At 36.7% G+C, this 12,158-nt stretch overlaps 2 protein-coding genes and 1 pseudogene across 30 annotated transcripts in view, besides 1 other annotated feature; all 3 read left to right on the forward strand.

The window, feature by feature from the left end:
- The window catches only part of DUS4L-BCAP29 (DUS4L-BCAP29 readthrough), a 59,347-nt gene that overhangs the window by 39,146 nt on the left and 8,043 nt on the right, over positions 1 to 12,158 (forward strand). For 5 of the 7 annotated variants that reach the window (NR_163939.2, NR_163941.2, NM_001371365.2 and 2 more), the window contains one exon: positions 10,216 to 10,316. Coding sequence is in view for 4 of the 7 variants with exons in the window: in NM_001371365.2 (NP_001358294.1) it covers positions 10,216 to 10,316 (101 nt within the window). In the remaining 3 variants the exon portion in view is untranslated. Of the gene's footprint in view, positions 1 to 10,215; positions 10,317 to 10,537; positions 10,617 to 12,158 lie in introns of all 7 variants that reach the window. The other 2 variants (NR_163940.2, NM_001371364.2) reach the window with 1 other exon arrangement.
- The window catches only part of BCAP29 (B cell receptor associated protein 29), a 43,311-nt gene that overhangs the window by 23,110 nt on the left and 8,043 nt on the right, over positions 1 to 12,158 (forward strand). For 20 of the 23 annotated variants that reach the window (NR_163927.1, NR_163935.1, NR_163934.1 and 17 more), the window contains one exon: positions 10,216 to 10,316. The exons of 1 other annotated variant lie outside the window; for it this stretch is intronic. Coding sequence is in view for 8 of the 22 variants with exons in the window: in NM_001371355.1 (NP_001358284.1) it covers positions 10,216 to 10,316 (101 nt within the window). In the remaining 14 variants the exon portion in view is untranslated. Of the gene's footprint in view, positions 1 to 10,215; positions 10,317 to 10,537; positions 10,617 to 12,158 lie in introns of all 23 variants that reach the window. 2 more of the 23 variants (NR_163926.1, NM_001008405.4) reach the window with 1 other exon arrangement.
- LOC124901856 (uncharacterized) lies at positions 247 to 391 on the forward strand (annotated as a pseudogene).
- Positions 6,728 to 7,022: a silencer, noted in NCBI's record as "tiled region #6605; HepG2 Repressive non-DNase unmatched - State 16:ElonW". NCBI's record gives its function as "represses a minimal TATA promoter and a strong SV40 promoter by Sharpr-MPRA in HepG2 cells {active_cell/tissue: HepG2}" and the evidence as "EXISTENCE:reporter gene assay evidence [ECO:0000049][PMID:27701403]".

Raw genomic sequence — 12,158 nt, forward strand, 5'->3', positions numbered from 1 at the left:
CTGCCGCCACGCCTGGCTAATTTTTTTGTATTTTTAGTAGAGATGGGGTTTCCCCATGTTAGCCAGGATGGTCTCAATCTCCTGACCTTGTGATCTGCCCGCGTCGGCCTCCCAAAGTGCTGGGATTACAGGTGTGAGCTACTGCGCCCGGTCTCCTTTATTCTTATAACTAGAAATATGTAGCATTCAGTCATTGTATGCATCCAAGCAATGATAAAAGTAAATATCGTTTAAAAAGTGATTGAGCTGCATGTGGAAATGTCTGTTCTTCATTCTTTTAGGAGCAGGAATACATATAGATATAAAAAACATCCCATATTTTAAAAGGAATTCTTAGGGCTTGCCAATCTTGTAGTAAAGGTTGAATTAGCAGTATATGTCTTCTACATAAAGGAAAAGAGAAAACAGTAATTGGGGGAAATTTCTTGACCATGCCTTTCTTCTGTTTGTTCCTGCTTTCCTTTGTTCCTTCTTTGTTTCATCAGCAATTTTTTTTTTTTTTTTTTTTTGAGACAGAGTCTCACTGTCACCCAGGTGGGAGTGCAGTGGTGCAGTCTTGGCTTACTGCAACCTCGAACTCCTGGACTCAGGAGATCCTCCCGCCTCAGCCTCCTGAGTAGCTGGGACTACATGTGTGCACCACCATGCCCGCCTAATTTTTTTGATTTTTTGTAAAGACAGGGTCTCGCTTTGCTACTTAGTCTGGTCTTGAACTTCTGGCTTCAAGCCCTTCCTCCTCAGCCTCCAAAAACGCTGGGATTACAGGCATGAACTGCTGTGCCTGGGCCTCAGCAATTTTTAAAAGAACTTTTCAAGTAATTCAGTCGTTGTAAAGTCATTTAATGTGGAGCATAATTAACACTTTCCTTAAAAAGTGTGCCTCTTGAGGATAAAGCAAACTTTAAATAAATTTCTTAAAGCATATACTAACAATCAGAAACTGAGTGTAAAGACCTATTATGGGTACCTAAGTATTAGCAGCACGCAATAGAGATACTAGATTTGGACCAGGAAACAGAACCCTTAGTCCCCTACTTAAAATAATGATAATTCAACTCTCTTCCTGGATAAATGCTTTCATATCACCTTGACTTACGTTGAACAAAACTAAAATTACCTTTTGCAGACCAACTTTGATACCCTTGAAGATGTTAAGTTTTTTTTACTTTTTATTGCCAGTTAACATAGGGACCAGATAGTGAAAAATAGCTGAAGTGTTTTTCCAGAGAAATTGGAGATCAAGACAAGATAGAAAATTACAGGGGAATTGCTGATCTGTATACCCAAAACCCTAAATTCCTGCCTCTTCAGTGTTAAGAATAAGACATAAGCTTTGTATACAAGTTTAAAACCATATGATTTCCAGTTTCTTACAAATGAACCATATATTCATCTAAAAATAAATTCTAAGTTTACCCTAAGCATGTTTTACAGTTGTAAATTTTTGTGGACGTGAACTTAGTTATCTTTTACTTACAGTTATATCAAAGCCCCCAGCTTATTTTAAAATTATTAATGCTTAAAAACAGTTTGCTGTTTTTAGTCATTTTGTTGTTGTTGTTGTTGTTGTTTTTTTTTTTTTGCTTTGTTGCCTTTTAATGCACTTTTGTGATTTAAATAAGAAAAAAACATATTATTTGTTTTCATGTCTGGAAGTTTCTGTTTCTTTGACACCTTTGTCCCTTCTTGTATCAACTGAAAAAAAAAACTGCATTAAGAAAGAATAATATAGTTTATTTGATGGTTGTGCCAGTAGGCAATATATAATTAATAGTATTTTAATTATTTAAAGTAAATAAAACTCATGACCAATCCTTTTAGTTAGGTAAATAAAGGATTTATTAGTATTTATTAGTTCATCTCTGTGTTATCTTCACATATTGATGTTATTGTCAAAACAGAAAAAAGGGTTTGCTTGCTATCAGAGTACTTTTCTTGGACTAATATATAATGATGATATTGCATCCTGTTTGGTTCCCTGTTACATTCCCATTTAGTTGTGATGTTTCCCTTTCTTGTGAGCTTCTTATCTGTTATCAAGGCCTATACTCATAAACTATGTGTCTTTCAGTAACCAGGAGGAATAGCTATAGGGAAGATATTAAGACAGAAATTCAAAGATACCTTATATATTATTCACAGTACTAGCAAACATAACGATATCTACCCTGAGGAGAAGCTTTTATAATCTCCACAGAGGGACATTAAAGCAAGAGAAAACAGTTTGTTCTCAGAAGAGCTTGTAGTCCAGATGGTAAACCAAACATATGTCCATAAAGGGATTCATTTCCTCCCCAGTGTGAAACATGGGCTAGTCTACCAAAAACATGAGTGGAGAGTGCTAAATGCATACTGAATCAAGGAATGTTCCAGGTGTTAAAGATGTAATCAAGCACAATTCTCTAAATGTGTTGATGGACATAGAATGGCAGAAAAATGAGTGAAATGATACTACTGTTCTGAGTGAGAAGAGCAAAGCAAAAAGCAGAGTGGTCTGTTTGAAGTCGATGTGTCACACTAGGTGCAGTGAATGATTGTGCTGTATGGTTGAGGGGTCCATTGATGTAGCCCCTAAAAGATCGAAGGAGATAATTACTTTGAATGCCTTGGTGTTCTTTTCTACTGTCTTATTCCATACCTAGATATGCATGTTTACTACAATCCTTCATGGTAAATACTTTTCTAATGATATCAGCTTATGGCAGGTTCATGTTTATGGCCAAGTGAGTTACAAAAATTAAACTGTACAACTCTAGTTTTAAAACACTTTCAATTAGGAAAAAACACTAAACTATTAATAGTGGTTTTCCTTAGCATGTACAACAAATGACTTTTTCCTAGAGTTTAAATTATTTTCTACAATGAATTTCTTTTGCTTAATGAAAAAGATAGCTTTTTATTGTAAAAAGAATTTAAAAATAAAAATAAAAAACCTCTTCCAAATACCCAGGTAATCTAGGGCGGTAGTTTTTTGGCTTGAATTATCTAATTAATTGGCTGTATTCCAACTTTACTTTGTTGGTAGACCCTAAATATTAGAAGCTGTTCATATAGCTTTTGCTAAGTTATATGAATTACATTGCAAAATCTGAGGATACACTGGGTAATCTTGGTGAAGTCATTGACTCTTTTTAGGCATAGTTTTCTCTTTTGTAAAATGAGAGACTGAACTAGTTAAACTTTAATGTCTATTATATAGCTCCAAATAATGTAATTAAGCAAAACTGACTATCAAGAATTATTTTCATTGTTGGCTTTTTGACCCTTCAAATTATATTTATTTTTCATGAGAAAAATCTTTTCACAGTAACTTCCCTTTCTCCAAACTTAATAAGCTCAGCAGGTGATTAAGCCACATTCTTCACTTTTGAAGAATGTTTCATGCAATCTTAGGATCTTTAGGACAGGATCTGGCAGGTTTTATGCATCTGTTAGCTCACAACACAAGTGTGCTATGTAAAATGGGAACACAAGTGTGCTATGTGAAATGGGGCCACAAGTCTTAAATGTAGGGCATTGGGAGAAGAGAGGATATGCCAGTAAACAGAACCAATTCTCATTAGTGTTAGAGCGTGGCTGTTTGTTTAGAACATTTATTAGAACTATTGATATGGAATAATAAAACTTTGCAGAAGAAATGATTTAAGAAATTAGCATGTTCTTTTCATTATAATTATGTTAGGGAAATAAAAAATGGGACTAGATCTCTAGAGGTCTTCCCAGCTCTGAGAGCCTTTGTTATAAAAGGGAGTATTTATCTGGAGCACCTTTTACTTTTTTTTATTTTATCAAAGTTTTACATATACATATTTTTAAAGCAAAATAGTAACACAAGGCTTATAATGAAAAAGAGCAGTCTCCTGAGGCCCTGTCCCCAGAAGCAACTACATTCAACTCCTTTAGAAATGTCCTCTGAGGCCGGGCGCAGTGGCTCACGCCTGTAATCCCAGCACTTTGGGAGGCCGGGGCAGGTGGATCATTTGAGCTCAGGAGTTTGAGGCCAGCCTGGCCAAATATGGTGAAACACTGTCTCTACTAAAAATATAAAAATTAACCGGATGGTAGTGGCACGTGCCTGTAATCCCCACTACCCGGGAGGCTGAGGCAGAAGAATCGCTTGAGCCTGGGAGGCACAGGTTGCAGTGATCCAAGATTGTGCCACTGCACTCCAGTCTGGGCAACAGAGTAAGATCCTGTCTCAAAAATAATGTTCTCTGATATGTGCCTCCAGGTTTCTAAATGCAGTGTTTAGGTAGTTTTTTCTTGATCTTTCAGTATGGGATATTATCTTTGACTTTGTTATAGGGAAGACGAGGACTTAGACCTCTTTATCTCACCCAGTTTCCCTCCTGGCTCCTCATACTTCCCATCCCCCTCCATCCTTTCAATTTAAATATATCATAACTTTTACTATATCATATTATTACAACTATATATTCATCATCATTATGAGGATTTCCTTTGCCTCTTTCCTGTATTGATACCCTCTTTCCTGAATTCCATGTTTTCTTTCTTTTTCTTTTTTTTTTTTTTTTTCCGAGACAGATTCTCCCTTTGTAGTGCAGGCTGGAGTGCAGTGGCGCAATCTTGGCTCACTGCAACCTCCGCCCCCCAGGTCCCGGTTCCAGCAATTCTGCTTCAGCCTCCCGAGCAGCTGGGATTACAGGCACACACCACCATGCCCAGCTAATTTTTGTATTTTTAGTAGAGATGGGGTTTCACCATGTTGGCCAGGCTGGTCTTGAACTCCTGACCTGGTGGTCCGCCTGCCTCGGCCTCCCAAAGTGCTGGAATTGCAGATGTGAGCCACTGTGCCCGGCCTGGATTCCATGTTTTCTACTTTTGTATAGGTTTTGAAAGTCACAGAGGTGCCAGCTTTCATCACATTGTATCAAGAGTACATATTATTAACATAACTTATCAGTTTTGATGTTGACCTTGATCACCTGGCTAAAATAGTGCTTGTCTAGTTTCTGAACTGTAAAGTTCCTCTTTTCCCTCCTTTTTCCATACCGTAATCTTTGTGAATCACTGTTCACAGCCCACACTTCAGAAATGGGGATCAGTGTGCAAATGAGTGGATTAAAAAAAAAAAAATAAGAAAGGGAAGTTACGCTCAACCTCCTTGAAAGCAGAGTATCTGTGTAAATTGTTTGGAATTCTACACAGATTTGTCTGTTGTCTACCATTTGTTTGTCAGTATGGACTCATAGGTATTTATTTTATAATTTGGGTTATAATTTAATACTACTTTAGTTTATTGTTCAGGTTGTCCAGCTTTCACCATTGGGAGCTCTTTCATTTGGCTCCTGTGTCCCTTTGACACATTTCCATTTTGGATATTTGTTTGTTTGTTTGTTTGTTTGTTTGTTTCATTTTTGGAGCACTTCCTTACTTTCTGGCATTACAAGATACTCCAGGCTTATCTTGAACATTTCCTGCCCCATTCTTAGAATCAATGTTTAGGGATTTTTTTTAATTGGGCTGGATTCTTTGGTACTATTTATTTATATTTTATTTTTGATTCTGGAGTAGTATGAGATATTTGTAACATGAGTATATTTTCATCAAAATATTTCAAGAATGGTCTCTTTGCTTTGTTTTGGCTATCCTGAGTATTTTGGTTTTTGATTGACGGTGTTTTTATCAAGATTACTATCAGGTGACTAAAGTAACACTTTGTATTGTTCACCTGACATTTATCATTTCCAAGTGAACTGTTTACACACAAGTGAATTTTTCAAATGCTTAAAGCTTACACTTTTCATTTATTCATTCTTTCATTCCTTCAAGGAGCATATTTTAAGCACTTACCAATACTAGGCAATATGCTAGGTACTCAGACAGATAAGACACAGCTCTGTTTCTTGAGTAGTCCATAGTCTAGTAAGGGCATAGTTGCCCTTCAATTCAATACGTGGTGTGGTGAAACTTGAGTTGTAGTAGAAGCCAACACTGGAGATCGACACTTTCTTGACATTTTAAAGGATGACATTAATTAGCCAGATGAAGTAGGAGGAGATGGACAAGGTGTTATAACAAAAATGAGCAGCATGTAACCAAAGGAGTATGGCACTTTTGAGGTACTACAAGGAGCTCAAGGCAACTGGAGTGTAAAAGAAGATGGAACCAGTGGAGAGAGTTGAGCAGTAGGCCTAGAAGCCATCCTGAAGGGCCTCATATGCCCTGTTTGTACGTTAACATTTTCAGGGCACTCTTAGAGGGTTTTTAGGCACAAGAGCAATCACTTTGACAGCATTATAGACAATGGATTCAAGTAGACGGGCAACTACGTGAGAAATCCACTTAATAATCTAATCTGGAAATGAGGACAGTGGTCACAGAGCTGGAGTGGAAGGTATGGATTGGAGAGCTATAAAGGAACTTAACAGCTATCAACAAACTTTATCAACAGATGGGTGTGAGGTTAAAAGAGATTAGGTGTTGATTGAAGTGATGAATAAAACGTAAATCTTTACCTACACAGACCTCACAATATAGGCATGTACAAAAGAAGGATAATATAATTAAACCACAGTTTATGTCCTTACTGAACAGAAGTTTGTATGTCTACTTTCCAAGTATCTTGGAAGCATTACTGTAGATTAACAATCCAATAAGTGATCATTGGCAAAGGAGTAGTACATGTGAGGATTAAATACTGAATAGCTCCAGTGTATCACACTCTTGAATTCTCAGAAAGAGAACCAAATAAATTGGAAAGAAACCAACACTAGACATATGGAAATTTTTCAAATAAAATATGTTTTCCTCTGGCTCAGTCCTTACAGCTGTTGTACAACAGCCCAACTTTAGCTGTCATGCCAGTGCCTCTAAAAACTTCCATTTCCTGGCAGAGCTTTACTGGCAGTGTTTCTATCTCTGGTCGAAATCACAGTGATACAATACATTTACACGGTACATTAGTCTCACCAGCTCCTCCCACTTTTGCAAATAGTTCCGTAAGTGAACGTTTGACACTTGGAAAGACAACAAATGTTTTTGCTTACTATGTGTCACTGTAACATTAGTTGAAGTCATTTTCTATATTAATAAATGATGCAAGTGCCTTTAAAAATATCTAATGGACCATAACCTAGGACATAACAGTCTCTTATTGAATCTAGCCAGTATTCTTAGCAAATATCTCAGTATTTCCATAAAGCCACTGGCAAGTGATAGCAGCCCGTTTTTGCAGTTAAGAAAATTGCAGTAGCAACTTAGATGTATCATCTAAAGCCTCCTTGTCCAATAATATTTTTCTTATATATGCTGTTTCCAAAATAATATGCCTCAAAATAAAATAAGCATATTCACATGTCAGATAACAAGTTTATATAGTCCCTTGGTTACAGATGCAGTTGCAAAAGGAGGTGGAAGGCATCCAAAACACAATAATTTTTATAAAATGAGATAAAGGACTGGGAAACAGTCCAAGATGTGTCTAGACAATAATAGCCTCCCCTAATTGGAGTGATAGTATTCATTAGATTTATTAATATCCACTGAAATACAAAATGAAATAAGAAACACATTTTATACCTTGGCTTAGTAAGTGGCAGAAAAACAGTATTTGTCTGCATTTGTTCCGTTAATAACTTTATACCAGTAGTAACCAGAAGAAACTCCTAGATAGGCTGTACAAGTGGTTTTCTAGCTTCTTTTAAAAAGGAACTACTGGGTTGATATCTAAGATATATTAAATTTATTAAATAACTTCTTAATGTCAGAAATTCAAGTATAAATTGTTTTTGACATTAAGACCAACTCCTGTTCATTACAAGCACCTGACCAACTGTCTTAATAGAAAGTACTCTAGACTCAGTAGCTTATAAACAACAGAAATTTATTTCTCACGGTTCTGGTGGCTAAGAAGTCTGAGATCAAGGCCCCAATAAATTAGGCCTCTGATGAGGGCCTGTTTCGTGATTCGTAGATGGTACCATCTTGCTATGTTCTCACATAATGGAAAGGGAAAGGCAGCTCTCTGGGGCCTCTTTTTATTAGTGCACGAATCCCATTAATGAGGACCCCACCCTTATGACCTAATCACTCCCCAGCCACGCCTCCCAATACGATCACATTGGTAATTAGGTTTCAACATATGAATTTTGTGGAGAGACAAGCATTCGGACCATAACAACAACATTCTTAAAACTACCATTGTAGGCCAGGGGCAGTGGCTCACAACTGTAATCCCAGCACTTTGGGAGCCTGAGGTGAGAGAATTGCTTGAGCCCAGGAGTTCAAGACCTGCCTGGGCAACATAGTGAGACCTCATCTCTACAAAAAATTTAAAAATTGGCTGGGGTGGTAGAGCAAGATGTTGTCTCAAAAAAAAATAAACACCATTGCAGGCTAGTCAGCCACTATTAGATTGTGGAATCTACTGTGTATTTTATGTACCAGAAATCCAGGGTCTTAAACTTTTTTGCTGAGCTCTGAAGATACCACCACCATGCATCATATTTTCAAGTAGCCTCTAGGAAATGCCTTGTAGAACCCAAATTGAAAACTAACGTATAACTCTTTATGTTGTGAAGGTGGTCCTAATGAAATCTAACCATCCCCAAAAGTGTCTTCCATACCTGACTCATACCTTTAGCAAGTGACATCACATTAAATTTGTCAAAATCAGTCTTTAATACCTTATTTAGAATTATGCAGCTATAGAAGGAACATGGAGGAAATTATAGAGCTGTGCTGCCCAATATGGCTAGCCACTAGCTCACATGTGGCTGTTTAAATTTAATTGAACTTAAATTGAAAATATAGGTCCTCACTTAAACTAGCCACATTTAAAGTTCACAATAGCCACATCTAAGTAGTGACTACCGTATTGACAACGCAGATGTAGAACTATGTAGAACATTTGACAATACTGTCTAGAAAGTACTGATACAAAAAGCACTTTAGTTGATAATGGCTTATATATTTATATAAAAATGCCTATATGATGACTTCTCAAGAGAAAAGATTGTTTATAACTGGAACCTATAATTTTATTTCATTGTGCCAGAAAAGTAGCTTTTAAATTTATAAATTCTACTTTTTTCCCTTAAACTCCTACCCTAAAATACTTCCAAATGTAGAACTTCTGAAGGCTACATATGATATAGAGCTACTTCAGGATTCCCAGAGTTTGGAAAAATGATTTCTGAAAGCACTATATGAGATAAAAGTTTCAAGTATGACAACTCTAATTTTTCTACCCCATTTTGTACAGCTCTTCTACATATTTTGCTCATTAGCACCTTCTTCACAATGTATTGTTTTATATATATATATATATATATATATATATATATATATATATATATATATTTATTTTACTTCTATCTAAGGCCCTGAATCTGCTGACATATGACTTGTAGCTCCTTGGTAGGTAAAGGTCAATATATAGTAATTCTTGTGTGCCATTATCTTGAGGAGCAGGATGTTTGCATAGACTAAATTGTCTTCCTATATATTGCTGCTTTAGTTACAAAGGTTAAAATTGTAAGTATAAAATGGAAAAACCAGTGAGGGACAGAGGAACTTTGGATGTAATGGGCCTCTGGATGCCCTGAGAAGCATTTAATATCACTTATATTCATATGTAAGTGGATGCATGACCTGAATTTATTCATGAGGAAACATCAGACAAAAACAAAGTGAAAGAACATTCTATCTAAAAAGTGGCCTGTATTCTTTAAAATGTCAGTATCATGAAAGATGGGGAGAAGAGGGCTGTGATAATGGTAGGGAATTATTCCAGATTAAAAGAAATTAAAGAGATATGATAACTAAATGCAATATGTGATCTTGCACTGTATCCTGGACTAGCAGTGGAGAAAATGCTTAAAGGACATGATTAAGACAGTTCCAAAAACTGGCATATGGATGATAAATTAGATTTAAAGTATTGTATTCATATTAAGTTTCCTAAATTTGGTGACTATACTATGGTTATGTTAGATAATATTTTGTTTCTGGGAAATACATTCACAGAAATGTATTGAAGAGTAGAGGGGCACGATGCCTGCACCTTATTCTCAAATGAGTCAAGAAAATAATAGTGTGTGTGAAGAGAGAGAATATGATAACAAATGTAGCACAATGTTAACAGTGGATTTGAGTAAAGACTATACAGGAGTTCTCTATTTAAGCCTTGTAACTTTTCTATAAATTTGAAATTATTCTGAAATAAAAATAAAACTATTCGATATTTTCTAGCCCTTTCTAAGGCACAAAATGATGTGATGGAAATGAAGATGCAGTCAGAGAGACTTTCGAAAGAATATGATCAACTCCTGAAAGAACACTCTGAACTTCAGGTGGGTGTGACATGCACTTTATGCACCTAAATGTTTTGAAATAGTAATTACCTAAGTAAATTATTTGGGTTATTTGTCCTTAACTAATCAAGATGATGTACTTAATCCTGGCTTTGTTAAACGATTTAAAGAAGCCAGATTTTTACCTAGAGGGTAAAGATTAGGACATTGCAGGAAAATACAAGATAATTTTAAGGAATTGCTGACTTGCATACTTACAGCATTCCAGTTTTGGTGAATTTTTAAGCAAAAGAAGCCACAAAAATGGCAGCATTGGAAAACAGACTGGTTCTAGAAAAGGTGAGTTTTGCTCTTTGGGATGTTTGCCATATTCATGCCAAAATGAGGCCAAAATTTCAAGTTCCACATCACACTACTCTTGTCTCAGTGTTTTAGACATATTAGGACAAGACTTTAGCATTCAAATTTATCATTTACCTCCAAATGTTGATTTGAAAGATGGAAATGGGAAAAAAATGTTTCATTGTTAAAGCCACAAAGTCAGATCTGGGCCATAGGTTTTCTTTCTCTTTCTCTCTAATTCAATAAAAGAAATGGTCATCCCTGTTAGGCTTGTCTTTCCTCCCTCCCTTCTGCTGCCAGCCAGTAACCTGAATTGATTTCTCAGACACACTCTGATCAATTGGGGAAGAGACCATTCCAGAGACAGCCCTGGCCTTCCCTCCCAGTTTCTCCCAAGACAGACTGGTTGGGCTTGTCTTCAAAATTTGGCAGCCTTTGTGGCTTTCAGTCAGGGCTTTTTACAAATAATAGCTTTTTATTTCACTGTACACATTTCCCTGCATCTTAATGGTCATGGTATCTCCAAGACTCAGCACTGTTCCTGGCACAAGGCAAGCATACACTATACTCATAGACTTTGTAGTCAGACCTACTTGGAATACCTACCTATACCTGGCTGCATGCTAGGTTTTTTATCTTAGGCAGGTTATAGCATCCCTTTGGGGCTCACTTCTTTCATCTATAAAAATTGAAACAATAATGATGCCTGGCTCACTGGATTGTTAAGAGAACTAAATAAAATGTGTAGGTTTTTTAGCACTATGCCTAGCTGACAGTAAACACTCAAGAAATGATAGGTATTATCATCATCATCTGTATTACTTCCTCTGTAGGAATTTTGCTGAAAGAATGACTTATTCTCAACCAACCACTTTGGCCTTGGTTTAGAGCCAGTAATTAAGTAACCCAAAGCACATATTTGTAATCTGATATTCCCAGTTGGTTTGCATGTTTGGTTTAACTAGCCTACTTTGACAATAGCAAAAGACAAGGTAGCCAGAGAAGGGTGAATACCCTGTATGCTCCAATCCCAGGACACTGAGGGCTCAGTTCACATGGCCTGGAGCAGATAGGTAGATTGTCAGCAAGACCACCCCTTCCCCGTCTCAAAAATAGAGACCCTAAAATTGCTGACCTCATTGGGGCATGATAATTATTCGTGGTATCTTTCAAGGTCCACCTTGGAAAGTGAAGAAGTCACTTCAGAGACCTCTTGCCTAGAAATACAACATTTTCCCCCTATTTGTGAGATTAGGGTTTACTCAGCCAGGTTGAGTATCGACATTAGTGGACTTTGCCATGATGTCAGACATGCTTAGATCTTTGAATGGAGAAAGGAAAACCAGAAGTATGCCTTCAGTTTCTTATGGCCAGTGTCCATTGTTGAATGTCTCCATTGTTGAATGTCTCCATTGTTGAATGTCTCCATTGTGGTAACAGCCATTGGTTCTCTTAATTCTGAAGAATATATATAACAGTGAGATTTCCTCAACCCATTTCCTCCCCACAGAAAAGCCACAGTCAGCCTGGAGCTGCTGC

This window comes from Homo sapiens, chromosome 7, assembly GCF_000001405.40.
Source record: "Homo sapiens chromosome 7, GRCh38.p14 Primary Assembly".
Lineage (NCBI taxonomy): Eukaryota > Metazoa > Chordata > Mammalia > Primates > Hominidae > Homo > Homo sapiens.